This window comes from Homo sapiens, chromosome 17 (genome assembly GCF_000001405.40).
Source record: "Homo sapiens chromosome 17, GRCh38.p14 Primary Assembly".
Taxonomy (NCBI): Eukaryota; Metazoa; Chordata; class Mammalia; order Primates; family Hominidae; genus Homo; species Homo sapiens.
In genome coordinates, this window is record NC_000017.11 from 4,666,234 (window position 1) to 4,688,879 (window position 22,646).

General features: G+C 48.1%; 1 protein-coding gene across 2 annotated transcripts in view, besides 7 other annotated features; it reads right to left on the minus strand.

The window, feature by feature from the left end:
- Positions 1-3,540: 3,540 nt before the first annotated feature.
- PELP1 (proline, glutamate and leucine rich protein 1) overlaps positions 3,541-22,646 on the minus strand; it is a 34,364-nt gene continuing 15,258 nt past the window's right edge. The window contains exons 4-19 of one of the 2 annotated variants that reach the window (NM_001278241.2): positions 16,797-16,878; positions 16,570-16,719; positions 16,269-16,340; positions 10,520-10,579; positions 10,124-10,274; positions 9,803-9,929; positions 9,564-9,651; positions 9,041-9,129; positions 8,846-8,962; positions 8,576-8,723; positions 8,277-8,436; positions 7,386-7,441; positions 7,017-7,223; positions 5,881-6,912; positions 5,458-5,649; positions 3,541-5,298 (exon numbers count right to left, since the gene is read on the minus strand). In NM_001278241.2, coding sequence (NP_001265170.1) covers positions 5,206-5,298; positions 5,458-5,649; positions 5,881-6,912; positions 7,017-7,223; positions 7,386-7,441; positions 8,277-8,436; positions 8,576-8,723; positions 8,846-8,962; positions 9,041-9,129; positions 9,564-9,651; positions 9,803-9,929; positions 10,124-10,274; positions 10,520-10,579; positions 16,269-16,340; positions 16,570-16,698 — 2,721 coding nt within the window. In that variant the 5' untranslated portion in view covers positions 16,699-16,719; positions 16,797-16,878 and the 3' untranslated portion in view covers positions 3,541-5,205. Of the gene's footprint in view, positions 5,299-5,457; positions 6,913-7,016; positions 7,224-7,385; positions 7,442-8,276; positions 8,437-8,575; positions 8,724-8,845; positions 8,963-9,040; positions 9,130-9,563; positions 9,652-9,802; positions 9,930-10,123; positions 10,275-10,519; positions 10,580-16,268; positions 16,341-16,569; positions 16,720-16,796; positions 16,879-22,646 lie in introns of both variants that reach the window. The other variant, NM_014389.3, reaches the window with a different exon arrangement.
- Positions 3,794-3,963: an enhancer, noted in NCBI's record as "experimental_47187 CRE fragment used in MPRA reporter constructs". NCBI's record gives its function as "activates a minimal promoter by MPRAs in K562 erythroleukemia cells, with activity observed for both the introgressed and non-introgressed 17:4573407 variant alleles {active_cell/tissue: K562}" and the evidence as "EXISTENCE:reporter gene assay evidence [ECO:0000049][PMID:34662402]".
- Positions 18,887-19,056: an enhancer, noted in NCBI's record as "experimental_47196 CRE fragment used in MPRA reporter constructs". NCBI's record gives its function as "activates a minimal promoter by MPRAs in K562 erythroleukemia cells, with activity observed for both the introgressed and non-introgressed 17:4588500 or rs72824951 variant alleles {active_cell/tissue: K562}" and the evidence as "EXISTENCE:reporter gene assay evidence [ECO:0000049][PMID:34662402]".
- Position 18,972: a transcriptional cis regulatory region, noted in NCBI's record as "Neanderthal adaptively introgressed variant 17:4588500 (GRCh37/hg19 assembly coordinates) or rs72824951 in the experimental_47196 CRE". NCBI's record gives its function as "modulates activity of the experimental_47196 enhancer by MPRAs in K562 erythroleukemia cells {active_cell/tissue: K562}" and the evidence as "EXISTENCE:reporter gene assay evidence [ECO:0000049][PMID:34662402]".
- Positions 20,262-20,431: an enhancer, noted in NCBI's record as "experimental_47199 CRE fragment used in MPRA reporter constructs". NCBI's record gives its function as "activates a minimal promoter by MPRAs in K562 erythroleukemia cells, with activity observed for both the introgressed and non-introgressed 17:4589875 variant alleles {active_cell/tissue: K562}" and the evidence as "EXISTENCE:reporter gene assay evidence [ECO:0000049][PMID:34662402]".
- Positions 20,475-20,644: an enhancer, noted in NCBI's record as "experimental_47200 CRE fragment used in MPRA reporter constructs". NCBI's record gives its function as "activates a minimal promoter by MPRAs in K562 erythroleukemia cells, with activity observed for both the introgressed and non-introgressed 17:4590088 variant alleles {active_cell/tissue: K562}" and the evidence as "EXISTENCE:reporter gene assay evidence [ECO:0000049][PMID:34662402]".
- Positions 20,883-21,052: an enhancer, noted in NCBI's record as "experimental_47201 CRE fragment used in MPRA reporter constructs". NCBI's record gives its function as "activates a minimal promoter by MPRAs in K562 erythroleukemia cells, with activity observed for both the introgressed and non-introgressed 17:4590496 variant alleles {active_cell/tissue: K562}" and the evidence as "EXISTENCE:reporter gene assay evidence [ECO:0000049][PMID:34662402]".
- Positions 21,877-22,046: an enhancer, noted in NCBI's record as "experimental_47204 CRE fragment used in MPRA reporter constructs". NCBI's record gives its function as "activates a minimal promoter by MPRAs in K562 erythroleukemia cells, with activity observed for both the introgressed and non-introgressed 17:4591490 variant alleles {active_cell/tissue: K562}" and the evidence as "EXISTENCE:reporter gene assay evidence [ECO:0000049][PMID:34662402]".

Genomic DNA, 22,646 nt, shown 5'->3' on the forward strand with positions numbered 1-22,646 from the left:
ACATATCATGAAACCACAATAAATATGTGCACACAGGCAGATCGATGGAATAAAACACAAGGCCGAAAATAAATCCAAATACACATAGGAATTTAGAATATAATGAGAGGTGTTTCAAATCATGAAAGGGTATTTTGTTTACTAAATGACATTAGTACAAAACTGTAAAGTTAGATTTGTACCTCATGCCTTACGCTAAGATAAACAAATTCCAAATGGATGAAAGCTTTGCATGGGAATACTAAAACCGTAAAAGCATTAGGATTGTGAAAGCATTCACGCATTGTAAGTGCTTATTAGCATCTATAAGACGTCAGGAAAAAAATGTGAGAACATTCCAATAATCTTCAAAGCCCTTTAAAAAAATACTGTCCAAAATCCAGGAGCTTTTAAAGAATAAATTCAACTAATGAAAATTAAATTTTCAGCATGGCAAAAAAACAAACCCACTAAAAGTCAAGAGAAAAACAAACTCCTTAAAAAAATGCAACTCTTATTACAAAGAGCCAATGTTCCTAATATACAGAGCTATGAACTGAGAAAACAAAATCAACTTAATAGGCAAAGGATATGAACATTTCACAAAAAAAAAAAGGAAATTCAAAGAGTTGTTTTTTGTTTTTTGTTTTTATGGAGTCTTGCTCTGTCACCCAGGCTGGAGTGCAGTGGTGTGATCTCAGCTCACTGCAACCTCTGCCTCCCGGGTTCAAGCGATTCTCCTGCCTCAGCCTACCAAGTAGCTGGGATTACAGGCACCCACCATCATGCCTGGCTAATTTTTGTAGAGACAGGGTTTCACCATGTTGGCCAGGCTGGCAAAGAGATCTTAAACACATAAAAAGAGGCTCAAACTCTCTCACAAGAAAAATGTAAATTAAAACACATTAATGTGCCAATTTCCATTTAACATATTGGCAAAGATCACAAAGTTAACTGTGAACAACACACTTTGGCAAAGGTTCGGGGAAACACCCATACTCCTGGTGGGAGCAAAAATTGATACAACATCCACGAAAGAACTCAGCATTTCTGCTTCTTGGAATTCATTCTACAAATACTCACTTATGTGAAGAATGACATGTCCACGTGGCATTTTATACAAATATATGTCTGTTTTGTGGCAGCAAGAGAGAAAGCATCAACCTAAATATTCATCATCGGGGACTAGTTTAAAACATTATGATACAATGAGATTCTAGGCAGCTGTCAAAAGAGAATGAGGAAGCTCTGTATGAACAGAAATGGAATGATCTTCAAATTCTGCCAACTCCACCTTCAAAAATTATCTAGAATCCAACCACTTCTCCAACACCTTAGTGGAAGGTATCATCTCTTCTAGCTGAATCTGCTTCCTAGCTGGTGTCTCTACTACCCTTTCTTTTGTCTGTTCCCCAGGAGCAGTCACACGGGTTCCATTACAACATAAATTATGTGACATCAATTATCGGCTTAAACCCCTCCAGTGGCTTCCCACCTCACCAAGTAGAAACCATAGGCCCTGCCTCACTGCCCCCCCATCCCCCAGCCATCCTCTTTCACCCTATTATTACTCTGACCTCATTCCCTTTTCCAACCTCACTGGCCTCCTTGCTTTCCTTGAACACACCAAGAATGCTCCTGCTTCAGGATCCTTGTACTTGCTGTGCCTGGGCCCCAGAACTCCACACAGCTCTCTCTCAACTCTTTAGGGTCTTTAGAGTCTTTATTCAACATCACCTTCTCAGCAAGAGCTTCCTCGACCATTGTAATTAAAATTGCACACACACACACACACACACACACACACACATGTAGTAACATGGTAGACATGGGTGTTCTGGGTGTAATTCTTTCAACTTCTCCGAATGTTCAAAAATTTTCATTATAAAATATTGAAAACAGGCTGGGCGCGGTGGCTCACACCTATAATCCCAGCACTTTGGGAGGCTGAGGCAGGCGGATCACGAGGTCAGGAGTTCAAGACCAGCCTGGCCAACATGATGAAACCTCATTTCTACTAAAAATACAAAAAGTAGCCGGGCGTGGTGGTGCATGCCCGGCTACTCAGCTACTCAGGAGGCTGAGGCAGGAGAAGTGCTTGAACCCAGGAGGCAGAGGTGCAGTGAGCCGAGATTATAACGCTGCACTCCAGCCTGGGGCAAGACTCCATCTTGAAAACTAAATAAGTTAAAATTTAAAAATTCAAAATACTGAAAACAATACACCCACACGAATCTATCCCTTTCCTTGCTTTATTTTCCCACTGTGCTCACCATCAAATATACATCTTACTTATTTGTCTACCCCCCACCCCCAAAATATCTAGAATATAGATCCCACAAGGGCAGGGCAGAGATTTCTGCATTTTGTTCACTGCTGTATCTCCAGCTTTGTAAAACAGTGCCTATCAATGACTACCAACATCAAATTTATGGTTTTACTGTAATAATGTAAGATGTAACCACTGGAGGAAACTGGCTGAAGGACAGCTTGTCATCCCTACCCTCTCATTAGCATCTCTGCAACCTCCTGTGGACCTATAGTTACATACATTATATATATACACATACATACATATATATACACACATACATATAGATACATACATGCATATACACACATACATATATATACACACACACATATATACACACATATATATATACACATATATATACACACATATATATATACACACACATATATATATACACACACACACATATATATATATATCACACATATATATATATATATATATATATATATATATATTTTTTTTTTTTAGACGAAATCTCACTCTGTTGCCCAGGCTGGAGTGCAGTGGCGCGATCTCGGCTCACTGCAATTTCCGCCTCCTGGGTTCAAGCAATTCTCCTGTCTCAGCCTCCCGAGTAGCTGAGATTACAGGTGCACTCCACCACATCCAGCTAATTTTTTTTTTGAGATGGAGTCTCACTGTCGCCCAGGCTGGAGTGCAGTGGCGCGATGGCTCACTGCAAGCTCCGCCTCCCGGGTTCACGCCATTCTCTCACCTCAGCCTCCTGAGCAGCTGGGACTACAGGTGCCTGCCACCACACCCAGCTAATTTTTTGCATTTTTTAGTAGAGACAGCCTCTGATTTATGTTACGTGATAATATACTACCATTTGCATTTAAAATTATATATATATTTGTATGTGCATACAATATCTCCAGATGAATATGCAAAAACTGATCATACTGGCTGCTCTGGCAGAAAATCTCATGGCTAAAGAGGACTTTTCAACAAACCTTTTGTACCTCTTGAGTTTTGAACCATGTGGATGTTTTCCCGATCCAGAACACCATTCAAATGAGAAAAAATTCTGTTCTAGCCTCTTCCCCAAAATCAATGTCAACTTCACCTATCTAGTTTCCAGAAATCAGGTTCTTTCCCTTTCTGAAAAACCACTATTGCACTTTTCACACTACACCCTTGTCCTTGCAGTGATCCTTAAACCTTCCAGGGCCTTCTCCACCTAGAAGAAATTCCTCTTGAACTCAGAGGAGGAAAAAAAAAAAAAAAAGCTATTAAGACAGTTTAGGAATTAATAGGAAAATTTTAATATCACAATTATCACTGGATTACTGTTATTTTTCTTAGGTTTGATAATGGTATCAGGATTGTGCAGAAAAACATTCTTATCTTAGAAGATAATTCATGTTAAAGAATCTGGGATGGGAAGGGCCACGGTGTCTACAGCTTACTTTCACGTGGTCCCATGAAAAAAGAAATGTGTATAACTACAGATGTATAGATTAGACAGATATATGGGTGTAATATAGATACATGTCTACATGTAGATACGCAGTTTATAGGGATAAGAGTTAACATGACTAAATGTTAATTGGCAAATCTAGGCAAAGGTTATCTATTATACTGTTCTCACTTTTCTGTTTATTTCGAAAACAAGTTGAGGGGTAACTTTTTAAAATCCTACTGAAGTTTCCAAAAATTAGCTCAAATGCCACCTCCTCAAAGGGCTCTTCAGGATACATGTTGGGAGAAATGACTCCCTCTTCTGCATTGCGAAGGCACTTTACTTACGTTCATGATTCAACTGACTGAGCAAAAAAAACCACGGGGCCCCTAGTTCAAGCCCACCAATCTTGGTACCCTCTCACAGACACATCTCTCGGTTCATCCTCACACGTCCATCCCAGCAAGGCCTAGAATAGGATTAGTGCTTAAAGAAAAGACACTGGGACAGTCAGGTGCGGTGTCTCATGCTTGTGATCCCAGCACTTTGGGAGTCCAAGGCAGGTGGACCATGAGCTCAGGAGTTCAAGACCAGCCTGGCCAACATGGTGAAACCCCACCTCTACTAAAAATACAAAAATTAGCCAGGCAGTGGCAGGCGCCTGTAATCCCAGCTACTCAGGAGGCTGAGGCAGAGAATTGCTTGAACCTGGGAGGCAGAGGTTGCAGTGAGCTGAGACCATGCCACTGCACTCCAGCCTGGGCGACAGAGCAGGAGTCCATCTCAAAAAAAAAAAGAAAAGAAAAGACACTGGGTGGGAAATATCCACACCTCAAGAGTGAGCAGGAAGGCCTGGGGTGAGCTTATCAAACTCCTGCCAGGGAGCTGTGAGGGGAACTGTCATTAGGAGGACTAGCCCCAAAACAGAGGTCATTCCCAACGTACCCACTACGGACACCCTTTCATCTTGGGGTAAGGTCCAAATTTCCCAGAATTCAATGACTAAACTGCTCCACACCTTTTCCTAATTTCCTAAACTTCCATAGACTGAGCAATCACTCAGCCTGCCCTTTCAGACCAAGGGGCTGAGCACGCATGCGTGTGGGCATGTGGGTGTTGACACAGGTCCACTCACTAGGATGCATTCTCCACACATTTCCCACCCCGAATACAAACACGAAAGCAGGGCTGTGTCTCTATAACTCCTCATTCTTAACCCTACACACAATTCTGCACGTTTAGCATCCAGCCAGAATCCTACAATTCTGACACCATCGTGCTGAGTGATGGGACAGTCCATTACACCAATGTCAGTTGTTCCTCTCTGGATCGTCAAAAAGAGGACAGCTATGGAGACATCTGGGGAATACTATGGACACCCTGAAAAGCCCAGCAGACACTTGAGCTTCTGGCTGGGGACCCAGGTGTGGCAAAAGGCAGAAGCAGCAGTCGCTATCTAAGGACATAACTTTATTGGAAACAAAGAGTGGGGTGCAGAAGATGGCTAGGAGTCAGGCTCTGTGGGAGGTGGTGGCTTCTCATCATCAGGGGGACAATCGATGAAGTCGGCCAGCATGGCAGCTGTGTCATCCTGCTCCTTTTAGGCACAAAGATACAAGATTCAGAATAGTCACACACACATACACAGAAGAATGGTTCAGGCTGGGCAAACCTCTCCTAAGAGAAGCAGCTGCCACCCCTTCTCCCGCCAGCCCCACCTTCTCGCCCAAGGAACCTTCCCTGCCTGGCCTCTCACCTTTTCCTGGAGAGCTTCGGCCTCTGTCTCTGTCTCCATCTCTTCTTCTGCAGGTGTCTCTGGTGGGGGCTGCACCTTGTCACTCCCATCCTCAGTCTCCTCTTCCAACAGGGTTGGGGGAGCAGAGGGCTCTTCTTCAACAAGCTCCTGGGGAGGGGGCCCTGCCGCAGGGCTTTCCCCTTCCCTCTCCACCTCTCCCTGGGAGGGGAGCGCTTCAGGGGCCAGGGTGGGAGCTGTGTCAGCCCCACGCTCCTCCTCCGTCCCTGGCTCCTCCACTTCCAAAAGCAGCCCGGGTTCAGGTTCGGGTTCTGGCTGCACCTTTGGGGGAGACTCAGGGGGAGGCAGAGCTGGAGGCAGGGTTGGGGGTGGAGGTGCACCTTCTTCTACCTCCCCTCCTGCTGTGCCAAACTCCAGGTCTTCCACCTCTTCCAGTTCTTCTTCCTCCTCCTCATCCTCCTCTTCTTCTTCTTCCTCTAACTCACCTTCTTCTTCCTCAAATTCTTCCTCAAACTCTTCTTCCTCCTCTTCTTCCTCTTCAAAATATTCCTCTTCATCCTCTTCCTCTTCCTCAAAGTCTTCCTCCTCTTCCTCTTCTTCCTCTTCTTCTTCTTCCTCTTCTTCCTCTTCCTCCTCCTCTTCATCACTGCTGTTGATATTAATAACTGTCAAATCCTCTTCCAGGGCTGGGGGTCCTCCCCCACCAGGAGTCCCTTCAGGGACCAACTGGGGTGGAGGGAGCGTCACAGGACCAGGAACAGGCGGCGGCGGAGGTGGGGGTGGCGGGAGAGGCCCTGGGGCTGCAGGAAGTTCTTCAGGCTCCTCCTTCGCTGGCACAGGAGGGGAGGCTGTTGGTGGCCCAGTGGGGGCTATAGGGGGTGGTGTGGCACCTGAGGGTGGTGGGGGTGGCAGGGGGGGAAGCCCCTCGGGCACGATCACCACGCTGTCATCAGAGTCACTTTCCAAGGAGATCTCCACATCAGATGCCTCCTCCTTGTCATAGTGGACAAAGGCTGGTCTGGGCACTCTCCCCCCAAAAGTTTCATCTGGGGGTATAGTAGGTGGGGGAGTCCCACTAGGGGCAAGGATGGGGTCCTCATTTGAGCCTGCCCGGTGGTTCTCAGGGCCAGGAAGAAGCCGGGGAGGGACAGACACTAGGCCTGGGACAGAAAGGCCTAGGTGGTTGGCTGTGGTGGGAGGTCCAGGGCGTGCCGAGGGCACAGGGCCTGCTGAGGGCATGGGGCCTGCTGAAGGCATGGGGCCTGCTGAGGGCATGGAGCCCACTGAGGGCATGGGGCCCGGAGGATGGAACGGTGGGGCCCTGAAGGGCGATGGGGCCTCAGGAGGGGGAACTGGAGCAGGTGTGGGGCAGGTGGGGCCCATGGGCTGCAGGGGAGGAACCCGGGGGTGGGTCAGAGCAGCACAGGTCACCAGTGCTTCTGAGCAGAAAGAGGAGACCTGAGGAAAGAAGAAAGGGCAAGTGTGAGCACCAGAAATACTGGGAGTCTCTTGGAAACAAGAGACTCCAGGAACCAAAGAGGGGCTTGGCCCATCACAGTTACCTCAAGGCTATCTTCTCGCTGGCCGAGGGAGAAGGCTTGCAGGGCACAGGCAAGAGGAGGTGGGCAGCGAGGAGACGGGGCCAGCAGCAGCGCCAGCAGCAGGCAGTAGAGTTCACGGCGGCAGCGGGAGCTCGTGTACGGGGAGCTGCCTAGGACCTCACCCTGCTGTACACCCATGACCAGGGGGAGGACCAGGTCATGCAGTCTCTGAAAAGGACAGAGCACACCTGGAAACATCCCCAAGACCACCCAACCCTTCTCCAGAGCCTACTCCCAGGTCGGAATGGACCCACCTCTGGGCCACACCCCCCAATGTGTACAGAGCAGGGGCCCCTTCCCCTATCTCCACGGAGACGAGGCTCCACTAACCCTGTGAGTCTCCTCCTTGATGAGAGGCCCACACATGAGGATGGTCCGGCTGAGGCCTGGGGAAGAAGAATGGTGTGTAAAGGGTAGGCTCCCAACAGACTGACGGCAAGGGCTTCTGAAGCATACAGCCCAAAATGGGCATCAACTCTGCCACTGCCTATCTTGGCCAAGTCATTTAACTTCTCAACTAGAAAATGGGGATCATAAAAGTACCTCTACTGTATAGGGCCACTGACGGTATTTAATTGAGACAATGTAAGTAAAAAATTATAAATTTTATAATTTTGCATTTATATATTTGGGAACAATCGGTTCTCCCCTTCCCATGGGATGGGGTGGCAGGCAGTGAAATATATGGGACCCAGAGGAAAGGCATCCATTAACTGCACAGTATCCGACTAGCAACCTGTGGACAGGTCAGTGGTTACGGTGAGAGCAGGGAGCTCCCCCAGGCAGCCTGCCCTTGGAAGAATGTCAGCTTCACAGGGAGGAGCCTTCCCCGCATGCTGGAACTCTGCCTGATAGAAAGTGGATACACCAAGGACGTGCTGAACGCCGGAGGAAGCGAAGGCCTTGGAGGGGCTGTGTCGGCTACCAGAGCTCCCGGTCTAACCGCAGGACCCGAGGCCGCCTGCAGCCCTGGCAACAGGGCGGCTGCTTGGGTGCCTCCTCCTGGCCTCTCTGCGGGCTTCCGCCTGGCTCTGCATTTCACAGGCACCTTCCCCTTCACCTGCTGTTTGGGGGATCACTTATCGCAGTGGACGAAGGCTGGTCTAGGCACTCTCCCCACAAAAGTTTCACCTAAGGGTATAGTAGGTAGGGGAGTCCCACTAGGGGAAAGGATGGGGTCCCGTTTGAGCCCCAGTGGTCCAGGGCACAGGCCTCACCCACCTCTGAGTGCAGCCGCACACACGTCGCTGTTGGCATTGCTATCCCCTTTCCGGTGGCTTGGCGGGGCCATAGCTTCCCCCACATCCAGCTTTAGCTTCTTGGGGGCGCTAGGCTTCCCAGTCTGCAAACTCCCATCAGGGCTCCCCCGCGGGCTACGCAGCTGGAGGCAGAGAAAACATAAATCACATCCACAGGCAAACAACAAGGCAAGACAGCCACAGCAGACAGTGTTTCCTGAGCAGGCACACTTGGTCAAAGGGCACAGGATGAGTCCTAAGGCGGAGCTGAGGCCTCCTCACCTTAAGGGCATCAGCTGGCGGGGAGATGTCGCTGAGCAGGTGGGTGAGCAGGGCCTCTCCAGAGGCTCCTCCCTGAAGCATTCCCGCCGAGGCCCCACAAACCTGCACCCACAGCTCTAATATCGCATACACCTTGGTCCGAACCGTGCTGTGTCATGAGCAAAGATGGCAGTTATGAATGGGGGGTCAACATGCCAGAAGCCCCAGCCCACCTGCACCCCCTCACCCCCCTCTCCTCTTTATTCCCTTCCTGCCTTCCTGGATGGTCACCTGTAAGGCCTCTCCTGGCCTGGAGAGAGGGAATCTCTACCGATGCTCCAGGAATTGAGGACCTGGGGAAGCAGGCGGCCGATCAGGATCCCAAAGCGCAAGAGCCGGCTTCCACACCTGGGGCAGAGAAGGAATGGTGACCCTCGTTTCTGGCACGCCCTATCCCTTCACCACAGCCAGCCCAATCCCACTCACGCGAGGATGAGTGCAGACAGCAGGTCCAAGGCCTCAAGGTGGATAGAGGGCAGCAGCAGCAGCCGCAGGGGACCATCTCCATGCAAGCTCTGGAGAAAAAAGGGGCAGAGATAAAGAGTGGAGGAAGAAAGTGAGAGCCAGAGAGAGACAGAAACAGGGAATGACCATTTACATATGTACACATAGGTAAGAAACCCAACCCCTGATCTCAGCTCTCCCAACAAAATCAAACCCCTATCCTCTAAAATAGACCCTGGATGGAAGGTAAGAAGGATGGCTGGGCCTCTCAGCAATGACTCAGCTGATCCCCAAATTCACCCTCCCCCAAGGAAGCATTTGCTACACTCTGACACTGTGCTCCTGTGTCACGACACATAGGAAGTGATGTTATTTGGACAAAAGTAGGAAGCTCTCTGGGACGACTCCAGGATGACACTGTTTGGGGAGACTCAGGTCCCCAGTACTTTCCTGGTTGCCTGGTATCCTGAGCAAGGGCTCTGAAGAGATGACAAATCCCACTTACAATATTCTTGCTACTGACGCTGAGGGTCCGGCAGATGAAATCCAGGATTTCCTGCACAGGGACGGACACGGGAGCTCCAAACTCAGAGCTAAAGAGAATCAGAGCAGGGAGACCTTCAGAGCAGGCTCCCTGGCATAACTCCCACACCCACCTTCATCTCCTTTCTCCTGATGAAGGCGACACTCCCTCATCAATCCCTCCTGCTCCACGCCTCCGCTCCCTCCAATACCCACACACACCTGAGCATGAGCCCTAGGCAGCGGGCCAGTCCCGAAAACCTCTGCCGAAGCTGGAGAAGGACATGGGCATCACCATCTTCTGAGGACAGCAGCATCTCCACCCCAGGGCCTTCATTCTGCACAGGAGCTGGCAGAAGCACAACTACCCTGTACACTGTCTTTCTTCCATCCCCTCCTCTGTCATTTCTGGTGGACGACCTGCCTGTATTCTAACCCATTTTCCCCAAAAACCAACTGCCCCATGTCTCTGGGCTCCCCTCCTGTTCCTTCCTGCCACGCTTCCTCACTATTGTTCCACTAACTAGCAGCCCTGGTCCCTACCAGTCTCTGCTCCCTCGTACAGGGCCCCCAGCAGGGTGTGCAGTGAGGCCAGCAGACTGTGTAGCTCCTGCTCCCAGCTCTCGGTGTGCTTCAGGCCTTGGGAAAAGCCAGCCCCTAAAGAGGGCAGCCGGGAATAACACTCACAGGCCAACTGCGGGAGAAAGGACAGAAACCTGGTCAGATGGGAATCCAGCCCAGCCACAGAACCCCCAGCCCCACTGACACCCAAAAGAGATGGAGATCAGAGAGAGCTCTGAGGGAAACCTGAGATGGGACAATGAGGCCGAAGGACACAGATGGGCATATGAAGGCAGGACAGAAAAGCTAGAGGAGGAGCAGCAAGAGACAATCCAGGCTCAGATCCCCGGGCTCTCCCTCTCCCTCCCTGCCCTTTACCTGTTGGAGCTGAGGGCTCAAGGCATCCACCCTAGACAGAAAAAATGAGGCCAGCTTGCCCTGGATGTGGAGGAAAAAAGGAAGAGGCCAGTGAGCCAGCTCTGAGAGCCAGAGATGTACATCCCATCCGTTCCCAGCAGCAGACTCTAAGCCCAGGTCTCTTTTTCCTGTAGACACAAGAAGCAAAGCCCTCTATGGGGCATCAACACCGGGCACGGACATGCTTTCATGGTAAAAGACTCCTCAACGCCAGCTCTGGTCCTCGGCTTCCTGCTTGGGAGCGAAAAGGGCCTGGCCCTGTCCCAGAGACAGCTGGGCTTCCTCCTTGACAGTTTTTGCAAAATTTTTCCCTCAAGCCAAAAGGACATAGTACTAAAAAACAGTCTCCACACTCCAACTCTCTACCAGCTCACACACAAAAACGAGGGTCCAAGCTGGAAGTTAAGACACTAACCAGAGGTATGAGGGCAGGACAAGGTCAAAAAAGAAGGCTGCTAGAGCAGAAGTAAGGCAGCAAGTCTCGGAGTAGCAATCTGTCATTCGGCACTTTCTCTGCCTGCTGTGTGAAGGTGCTAGGGCAGGAGTGTTTAACCTGAGAACCACAATTTAGTTGGATATACAATCATAGGGGGCCTGTGATCATGGATGGGGAAAAAAATTACTCCCACTAGCCTATTTGTAAAATGTAGTGTTTCCTTCACTTATAAATGCAGACAAATAGCCACAGTAGTATCAGCAGTACCTGTGACTGTCACTAATAGAATCATTTTCATGTCACATTATAATTGTAACACATCCTGAAATATCATTCACATGCATCACTAATTTGCAATTATAGTCGTTGTAAGACCTGCTTCTAGATCTTATTACTTAACATGTCAATAAAAAAGCACAGGCTGGGTGCAGTAGCTCACGCCTGTAATCCAGGCACTTTGGGAGGTCAAGGCAGGCGGATCACTTGAGCCAAGGAGTTTGAGACCAGTCTGGGCAACATGGAGAAACCCTATCTCTACTAAAAATACAAAAACTTAGCCGGGTGTGGTGGCGCATGCCTGTAGTCCCAGCTACTTGGGAGGCTGAGGTGGGAGGACCACCCAAGCCCAGAACCGAGATCATGCCAGTCAGTGTACTCTAGCCTGGGTGATGAGAGTGAGACCCTGTCTCAAAAAGAAAAAAAAAAAGGCCAGGCACGGTGGCTCATACCTGTAATCCCAGCACTTTGGGAGGCTGAGGTGAGCAGATCACGAGGTCAGGAGTTCAAGACCAGCCTGGCCAACATGGTGAAACCCCATCTCTACTAAAAGTACAAAAATTAGCTGGGCACAGTGGTGGGCACCTGTAATCCCAGCTACTTGGGAGGCTGAGGCAGGAGAATTGCTTGAACCCAGGAGGCGGAGGTTGCAGTGAGCCGAGATCACGCCACTGCACTCTAGCCTGGGTGACAGAGCAAGACTCTGTCTCAGAAAAAAAAAAGAATTAGTAAGGATAACAAGACAAGCATATGGAAAAACAAGAATCTGGAGCCAACACTGGCAACATACAGAGAAGGGGAAAGAGCAGGCTCACGCTTTCCCCGAGACATCCTAGTGGTGCACACCTGTAGTCCTAGCTACTTGGGAGACTGACGTGGGAGGATCACTTGAGCCCAGGAGTTCAAGGTTACAGTGAGCTACAATCTTAACACTGCACTCCTGGGTCACAGAGCGAGACCCTATCTCCAAAAACGGCTCAAAAAGCTGGACTGAAGCCAACAGAAGTCTGCTTATGTGACTGCAATAAAGCAGTGTACGGTGAAGCGACACGGCTCTAACCACAGGTTACCCTGGCTGACCCACAAAGCAAACCAAAGCAATGACTCGCTTGGAACAGTTCACTCAAAACGCGCACACACACAGCATGTCCTGGGGCTCTCTCAAGAGTAGGTCAGTCTTCCCACCCATTCCGAGGAACTGCTCATCAATGTGGCAAGGACGAGGAAGTGAGTTCAAGTCTCTGCAGGAATTGACCTCATGGACTCAGAATGCTTGATTCACATTACTTGGGAGTAGTAATCCTGAGCTTGGAGTCTACAATTACCCTGAGAGTATCCGGGGAATGTAACAGAAAACACAGACACTTCAAAACGGCAGTTATCAGTTTTCCTAAGTACTAGTCTGCGAGATTTTCCAAGTGCAAATTGCCCCTGGAGCCTCTGCATGACAGATTCTTATCTGAAGTGCTGGCAACCGACAAAGCCAAAACCCTCAACACCCTCAACAGAGGGAAGTTCTCCAGATGACCTTTTTTTTTTTTGAGACAGGGTCTCACTCTGTTACCCAGGCTAGAGTGCAGTGCCACGATCTCAGCTCACTGCACCCTCTGCCTCCCAGCTTCAGGGGATCTCCTGCCTCAATGTTCTAAGTAGCTGGAACCACAGGCACACACCACCACACCCAGCTAATTTTTTTGTATTTTTGGTAGAGGTAGGGTTTCACCATGTTGGCCAGGCTGATCTCAAACTCCTGGCAGATGGCACTTGATTCTTAGGGAAATAAAGGTAAGACACTCCCTGGAAGGACACAGGAACATTTGTTAGTTTGGAAAGGGTACTCAAAATGCAGGCCTTAAGTTCAACTGTCTGACAAAAGGTTGAGAATTACAGATAAATTCTCCTGACTACTCACACTGAAAATAAAAAAGCAACAGCAGAAGAACACTTAGCATTCTAGTCTCCTTAACTCTTACTATTCACACTTCTATCCTGTTAAGTAACACTCAATTTCCCCTCCACTTTCATGGGGGATGCAGGTAGATAAAGATAATACCTAACAGAGCTGAATCAAAATACACTTTTGCAGTAAAACCAAACCTTTGTTCAGGGACAAACTGCTGGCCTGTGTCATTTGAGAGGTTAACTTACAGAACATTTGACAAGATAACCAGTTTTTACTAAACTTAGTAAAACCTCAGTAAATAACCTCTGCTAATCTTTAATAAAATCGATGAGTCACTCCAAATACCTTCTTGACAAAATGTCCTGCCCTGCCTACCCAAAGATTCTATTAGCTGTGATTAGAGGCATTCACATGAAAAGAAGGAACCAGCAAGGACACAACCCCTCGCTCACTCAGAACTAGCATCTGCTCAGGCACTTTTCAGATACTGCGAGTAACCAGTTACTAACGACACTGCAGGCATCACTCCCTGATCACAGCGCTCAGGCCGATGGAACTCTGACTCACAGTCCTTCCCAGGCCAGCGAGCTACACAGCCACTAACAATTGACTAGAGCTGCTACCTGCCCTGGTTTTACAATTACCAGATAATATAACCTTTGGTTACGTCACTTAAGTCCCTCTCAGCTGGTTTTCTCCTCTGTAAAATGCAGTGATACAAATTCCACAGAATAATTACAATGATAAAATGACACAACACATCTTAGACACTCAGGAGAGTGAATGGCACAGTGGGCACCCACTAAAGACCAGTTCCCTTTCCCTCCAAGAACTTACTTTCTTGCTTTGGTCACAGAACCACATTAATCTCATTTTCTTTCTTTTTTTGGAGACAGAGTCTCACTCTGTCACCCAGGCTGGAGTACAGTGGTGCGATCTCGGCTCATGGCAACCTCCGCCTCCTGGGTCCAAGCAATTCTCCTGCCTCGGCCTCCCAAGTAACTGGGACTACAGGCACACACCGCCACGCCTGGCTAATTTTTTGTATTTTAGTAGAGGCGAGGTTTCACTGTGTTGCCCAGGCTGGTCTCAAACTCCTGAGCTCATGCAATCTGCCCGCCTTGGCCTCTCAAAGTGCTGGGATTACAGGCATGAGCCACCACGCCCAGCCTCATAATCTCACTTTCAAGACAACCTGAATAGCAAACTCCCCCTTAACTAACAATACTAATGGCAAATACAGTTAACTCCACCAGTTAAACAAAAAATTACTAATTTGCCACAAATTCCAGCTCTCTAGAGATTTGTGTTTCCATCTGAGTAAGCAGGTGTCCGATCGTTTGTCAAACCAATGGTGAATATAACAAAATAAGAGAACATTTAATCTACAGGGGAATACCTACTTGTTCTTAGGTATAGTTGGCATCCAATTATACTGCAAACAACAAATGTGCCAATTACGAATGGCCCTTTAACTGTGACTGCTTAGGCAGAATTTGTAAACCATTCATGTTTGTTATTGTATCTCCCTAAAAACAACACTGTAATTCTTCTCCTGACCTCCTCCATCATCTGACCCACATACACCCTGACCTGCCTGTCTGACCTACTAAGGCTCTTTTGTAGTCACCTTGTATGTGTCATGACAACTGGGAGGAAGGGGTCAGGAAGCGACAGAGGGAGTTTAAACAGGAATATACACAGAAAGAAGTGTTAGGGCAATTGTCCTAGGGAAGTGATATGTCAGAAAGCATTCCCAGAGAAAATTACAAGACCTTCAAGAATAAAGTAAAGGCTGGGTGCACAGGTGGCTCATGCCTGTAATCCCAACACTTTGGGAGGCCGAGGCGGGAGGATCACGTGGGGCCAGGAGTTCAAGACCAGCCTGGCCAACATAGTGATACCTCGTCTCTACAACAAATATAAAAATTAGCTGGGCGTGGTGGCATATGTCAGTAATCCCAGCTACTTGCATACATCTGTAATCCCAGCTACTCGGAGGCTAAGGCATGAGAATCACTTGGAACCTGGGAGGTGGAGCTTGCAGTGAGCCGATATCACACCACTGCACTCCAGTCTGGGCGACAGAGACTCTCTCAAAAAAAAATAAAATGGCCAGGCGCAGTAGCTAATGCCTGTAATCCCAGCATTTTGGGAGGTCAAGGCGGGCGGATCACAAAGTCAAGAGATCGAGACCATCCTGGCCAACATGATGAAACCCCATCTCTACTAAAAATACAAAAATTAGCTGGGCGTAGTGGTATGCACCTGCAGTCCCAGCTACTCGGGAGGCTGAGGCAGGACAATTGCTTGAACCCGGGAGGCAGAGGTTGCAGTGAGCCAAGATCACGCCACTGCACTCCAGCCTGGCAACAGAGTGAGACTCCATCTCAAACAAAATTAATAAAATAAGATATGATGTGAATTGGTTGAACGTTAAAAATTTAAAAAAAAAATGAATAAAGTAAGATAGGGGGCCAGGCACAGTGGCTCACACTTATAATCCCAGCACTTTGAGAAGCTGAGGCAGGAGGATCACTTGAGGTCAGGAGTTCAAGACCAGCCTGGGTAACATGGCGAGACCCCCCTACAAAAAATTTAATAATTAGCTGGGCGTGGTGGCACACGCCTTAGTCCCAGCTACTTGGGAGGCTGAGGTGGGAGAATTGCTTGAGCCCAGGAGGTCAAGGCTACAGTGAGCCAAGTGTGTGCCACTGCACCCCAGCCTGGACAACAGAGTAAGACCCTGTCTCAAAAAAAAGACAAGGTGGTAGAAAAGTGGGTAGGGCATTTTAAGAGATACAGAAAAGGCAAGGCAGAAAAAGGAAGGAGCCCATGGTTCAGAGTCTGGCTTAGGCATCAAACAGATACAGGTTCCAGTGCCTGCTGATCTTAGCAAGTTCTTGATTCCAACTTCTTTGGAAAAACGAGGGTTAAATGAGGTAAGTGCTACAAAGTGGTAGAAGTGTACTTGTGGAGATAGGTAACTTTAAAGGATAATCAGAAGATAGGTGCTTAGGAATCTCAGGACAGGAATCTGAGGTAAGAGCTCTCAACGCTTACACTGGTGGGGAGAAGAGTGCATAAATACTTACTTTGAGAGAACCACAAGCCCGAGGGAAATAGGTCATACAAGCCTTCATTCCTTCCAATGCTGACTGCTCACACTGTAGGAAAAACAAAGGGAGAAACGAGAGGCTGCGAGCACCATGTCACCATATTCCATCTCCCCCAGCACCCCACAAGGGCCCTTCTCCAGAAATCACTTTTTCTTGGCCCCTCCCTCTTCTCACTTCTTCAATCCTATTCCCCAGTCACTTCCATCAAACAATTAAACAGTGTGTGAAGGTGAGGACTGCGGGGGGCCATGGGGAAGGGTCCAGGGAGACATCTCACCTCTGGCCTGAGGCCCAGCAGGGAGGTGAGAAGGCCAGGGAGGTGGTTCATGGAGATGTCCCGGAACAGTGCAGGCAGCTGGGCTGCATATCGGAGGAGGTCCCTCAGGACAGCCACGGCCAGCTCCATTGTGGCAGGCGGGTCCTGGGTCTAAAGAAAAAAATAATGTCTCGTGCTTCCAGCCTCACCTTGATTGTCACCAAAGAGCAGCAGGAGAAAATACAAGCCTTCTGAGGAATGCCACGGTTAATGTCAGTCTGACCATCCAAGCCACTACCTGGCAGAAAAGAGGGTGTGGAGACACGGATACTGTGTTTACATTTTACTATTACGGGTATCTGGGGTCCTAGGAATTTGTGTGGGGGAAAAAAAGAGTAACAAAGCTATACCTTAAAGACCTGATTAACTGAAGAGTTTTCTTTTTTTTTTTTTTTTTGAGACGGAGTCTTGCTCTGTCACCCAGGCTGGAGTGCAGTGGCGCGATCTCGGCTCACTGCAAGCTCCGCCTCCCGGGTTCACGCCATTCTCCTGCCTCAGCCTCCCGAGTAGCTGAGACTACAAGCGCCCGCCACCACGCCTGACTAATTTTTTGTATTTTTAGTAGAGACGGGGTTTCACTATGTTAGCCAGGATGGTCTCGATCTCCGACCTCGTGATCTGCCCGCCTTGGCCTCCCAAAGTGCTGGGATTACAGGTGTGAGCCATCACGCCCAGCTGAGTTTTCTTTTCTTTTTTTTTTTTTTTTTGAGACAGAGTCTTGCTCTGTCCCCCAGGGTGGAATGCACTGGGGCAATCTCAGCTCACTGCAACCTCTGACTCCTGGGTTCAAGTGATTCTCATGCCTCAGCCTCCTGAGTAGCTGGGATTACAGGCATGGACCATCATGCTTGGCTAATTTTTGTATTTTTAGTAGAGATGGGGTTTTGCCACATTGGCCAGGCTGGTCTTGAACTCTGGGAGTCAAGTGATCCACCCACTTCAGACTCCAAAGTGCTAGGATTACAGGCGTGAGCCACAGTGCCCAGCCTTTTTTTTTTTTTTTTTTTTTTTTTTTGAGACAGGGTCTCACTCTGTCATCCAGGCTGGAGTGCAGTAGCGCAATCTTGGCTCACCGCAGCCCTGGAAAGATTTTCCGATGATATCATACTAATGTTCCCTGCTAGAAAGGGAGAAGAGCACTTTTCAGACTGAAAAATAAGCCTCAACCATAACAAGACTGTGCCATCTCTTCGAGGTTGTTGCTAACTGGCTCAAACCCACCCTGGAACCCATGGAGAAAAAACAATTTGAATTTAAAAGGACTTCCTTAGAAAATTAATATGTATCTAAGGAAAAACATCCAGCATATATCTCCTGCTAGACGAGACGAGGCCATGTGTCAAAAAAAGAAAATACTTATGAAGCAAAAACAGGCAGGCCTACCAACGACACAGGCCCTCATCCCTGTCCAGTAATCCTACCACATTTCTCTGGTTAACGCTGCTACTAAAGTTTTCTCCTCCAATTTCCAAATCGCTACTTCTCCCACCACTGTCACCTCTGTTTAACCTTGCCCATAACTTCACAGAAAAAACTGAAGCCCAGAGATAATTACAAGTAACTATAAAAACAGCAATTACTTTTGCACCAACCTAATAAAACAGCCTTCGCTTCCCACTCCCAAACTTCGAAATTTCATCTTCATCCTACCCACCCTCTCCTGCCCTCTTCCTACCCAAAGACAGTCCCTCCGCTGTGCTTTCAATACTATCTTCCTCCCTTCCTCTCAGAACCTTACACTGTCACTCGCTTTATCTCCCTTGAATTTCTAACCAGTCCCCACCACATGACTCTTCCCACTGACATTTATACAGCTCAAGTCTCTCCCATCTTAAAAAAATCTTGTCTTTTTTATTTTATTTATTTATTTTGAGATGGAGTTTCCTTCTGTAGCCCAGGCTGGAGTGCAGTGGTGTGATCTTGGCTCACTGCAACCTCCGCCTCCCAGGTCCTGGTTCAAGCGATTCTCCTGCCTCAGCCTCCCTCCTAGCTGGGATTACAGGCACATGCCACCATGCCCAGTTAATTTTTGTATTTTTAGTAGAGATGGGGTTTCACCATGTTGGCCAGACTGGTCTTGAATTCCTGACCTCGTTATCTGCCTGCCTTGGCCTCCCAAAGTGCTGGGATTACAGGGGTGAGCCACCAAAAAAGTCTTTTCTTGAGCCCATACTTCACTTGCCAAATCCCAGTAATCACCCAATTTCTCTCCCTCATCGTTAGAGCCCAGCATCTCGAAAAGATTTCCCATCTTCTCTCCTTCCATTTCCCTTCTCCCATTCGCTTCTTATCCCGTGCCAGTCTGGCTTCAGTGTCCACTGCTCCAGCAAAACCACTCTCACTATGGTCTTACCACCCGTGCCGCTAATCTGATCAACAATTCTCAGTCTGCGTCTTGTCCCACCTCAGGAGGCACACACGGAAATAACTCCTCCCTCGTCCCTCAAGTAGTCTTCGCTTGGCCCCCCCAGCCCGCAATCCCGGTTATCTTCTTCTTTCTGTTGGCCTGTCTCAGTCTCCTTAGTCAGTTCATCTTCCTCTACCTGACCATTAAGTGTGGTGTGCTTTAAAATCCAGTCCGTAAAAGGGCTCATTTTGATCACCTCATCCTCAGCTTCAACTGCCATCTAAACACTGAAGACTCTTCCCCCTAGTAAAAGATGCCAGGCCAGGCACGGTAGCACCTGCCTGTAATCCCAACACTTTGGGAGGCCAAGGTGGGAGGACTGCTTGAGCCCAGAAGTTCGAGACCAGCCTGGACAATATAGCAAGAACCCATCTGTACAAAAAAAAATGTTTTAATTAGCGGGGGGTGGTGGTACACGCCTGTAGTCCCAGCTATTGGTGGGTGCGGTGGGGGGTACTGATGTGAGCACCAGAGGTCAAGGCTGCAGTCAGCCATGATCACACCACTATATTCTAGCCCAGGTGACAAAATGAAACCATGTCTTAAAAAAAAAAGAACAAAAAAAGGGCTGGGCTTGGTAGCTCACACCTGTAATCCCAGCACTTTGGAAGGCCAAGGTGGGTGGATCACTTGAGGTCAGGAGTTCAAGACCAGCCTGGCCAACATGGTGAAACCCCGTCTCTACTAAAAATACAAAAATTAGCCGGGTGTGGTGATAGGCGCCTGTAATCCCAGCTACTCAGGAGGCTGAGGCAGGAAAATCATTTGAACCCGGGAGGTGGAGGTTGCAGTGAGCCGAGACCGCGCCACTGCACTCCAGCCTGGGCCACAGAGCGAGACTCCACCTCAAAAAAAAGCCAACTAAAGCCTCCACCCACTGAACCATCAAGGCTACACTGAGATGCCCGGCCACTTCCACTGATGCCGGATCAGGGGGATAGTTACTAATGGTGCTTCTACTGAATGCTCAAGGCCACAGCCATGGTATTTTCTTCCCACACCTCCAAACCTGTCTTCCAGTGTTCAGGAATCCAGGAGTCACCCTGGACATGTGTTCTACTCGATGCTAATCTATCCTCAGCATCTGCCACTCTGACACTAAATCTGTCTCAAACCTGTATCGTTCTCATCAGTTCTACTGCCACAACCCTAGTCCAAGCTACTATGAATGTTCTCCTAGATTACTTTAGCAGCCATCTACATAGAGTTTCTGCTTCCAATCTGTTCCTTTCTAATCCATTATCCACAGGCAGCCAGAGATATATTTTCTTTCTTTCTTTCTTATTTGAGATGGAGTCTCGCTCTGTCACCCAGGCTGGAGTGCAGTGGCGCGATCTCGGCTCACTGCAACCTCCATCTCCCGGGTTAGAGCAATTCTCCCACCTCAGCCTCCCAAGTAGCTGGGATTACAGGTGCCTGCCACCATGCCTGGCTAATTTTTGTATTTTTAGTAGAAACAGGGTTTCACCATGTTGGCCAGGCTGGTCTCGAACTCCCGACCTCAGGTGATCCGCCCACCTCGGCCTCCCAAACTGCTGGGATTACAGGCGTGAGCCACCACGCCTGGCCTCAGAGAGATACTTTCAATCACCACCACCACCTCCTCATCCCTGCTTAAAACCTTCCATGAGTTGCCACTACTCCAAGAATAAAAGCCAAAACCCTTAGCATGGTCTATAAGGCCATACACAACTTGGTCCCCAGTCTTCCTATCTCCCCAGCCACATCTCATCAATTCTAGCCACATGCTGGAATTCTTCAAACAGGCCATGCTCCTCTTCTCTCATGGCTTTGGCACATTAGAACACTTTCTTAACCCAATTAACTTCTATTGATCAGTTCAGAAAAGCTCTCCCTGGACTGCTGGCCCTGATCACAAACACCCACACCACCCCAGCTGAAGTCAGATTCTCCTGTTACATGTTTTCCAAGAACTATAGTCTTTACCTCCACAGCACCTACCTCAGTTTATCACTTCACATTCATTTATATAATTATTCAATTAAAGTATCTTCGCTGGGTGTGGTGGCTCACACCTGTAATCCGAGCACTCTGGGAGGCCAAGGTGGGCAGATCATGAGGTCAGGAGATCGAGATCATCCTGACTAACATGGTGAAACCCCATCTCTACGAAAAATACAAAAAATTAGCCAAGTGTGGTGGCGGGAGCCTGTAGTCCCAGCTACTTGGGAGGCTGAGGCAGTCACGCCACTGCACTCCAGCCTAGGCAACACAGCAAGACTCCATCTCAAAAAAAAAAAAAAAAAAAAAAAGTATCTTCAACTAGAACAGGAATCAGTAAATGATGGTCTATGGGTGCCTGTTTTTGCATGGCCCACAAACTAAGAATGGCTTTTACATTTTAAAGGATTGGAAAATAAACAATATACAATAGAAACTATATGTGGTTCACAAAGCATAAACATTTCCTATTTGTAAACATTTACTTCATAGAAAAAGCGCTAGACTCTGAGTACCATGAAAGCAGGGTCCATGTACATCTCACTGTCTCTCCAGAGCTTGGTACACTGCCTGCTATATGTGCTCAGAAAATGCTTGTTAAATAACTAAGTGGAGATGTTATCAAAGGATGTAAAAGTAGGGGAAAAAAATTAAAACGTTAAAAGAGCAACAAAGTATGAAAAACGCACAACCAACCTTATACTGAACAGGGAAAAGTTGAAAGCATTCCCCTTGAGAACTGGAACAAGACAAGGATGCCCACTTTCACCACTTCTATTCAACATAGTACTGGAAGTCCTAGCCAGAGCAATCAGACAAGAGAAAGAAATAAAGGGCGTCTAGGCCAGGCACAGTGGCTCACACCTGTAGTCTTAGCACTTAGGGAGGCCGAGGCAGTCAGATCACCTGAGGTCAGGAGTTTGAGACCAGCCTGGCCAACATGGCGAAACCCTATCTCTACTAAAAATACAAACATTAGCCGGGCGGGGTGGCAGGCACCTGTAATCCCGGCTACCTGGGAGGCTGAGGCAGAAGAATTGCTTGAACCCAGGAGGCGGAGGGTGCAGTGAGCCAAGTCTGTGCCACTGCACTACAGCCTGGGCAACAGAATGAGAGACTCCATCTAAAAGAAAAAAAAAAGGAAGAAAGGAAGAAATAAAGGACATCTAAATCGGTAAAGGGGAAGTCAAACTGTCGTTATTCACCAGTGATATGATCATATACCTAGAACACCCTAAAGACTCATCCAGAAAGCTCCTAGATCCAATAAATGAAGCCGGTAAAGTTTCAGGATACAAAATCAATGTATACACATCAGCAGCACTGCTAAACACCATCAGCAACTAAGCTGAGAATAAAATCAAGAACTCAACCACCTTTACAACAGCTGCAAAAAATAAAATAAAATACTTAGGAATACACCTAACCAAGGAGGTGAAAGACCTCTATAAGGAAAAACTACAAAACACTGCTGAAAGAAATCACAGACGACACAAACAAATGGAAACACATCCATGTTCATGGATAGGTACAATCAATATTGTGAAAATGGCCATACTGCCAAAAGCAATCTACAAATTCAATGCAATTCCCACCAAAATACCACCATCATTCTTCACAGAACTCGAAAAAACAATCCAAAAATTTATATGGAACCAAAAAAGATCCC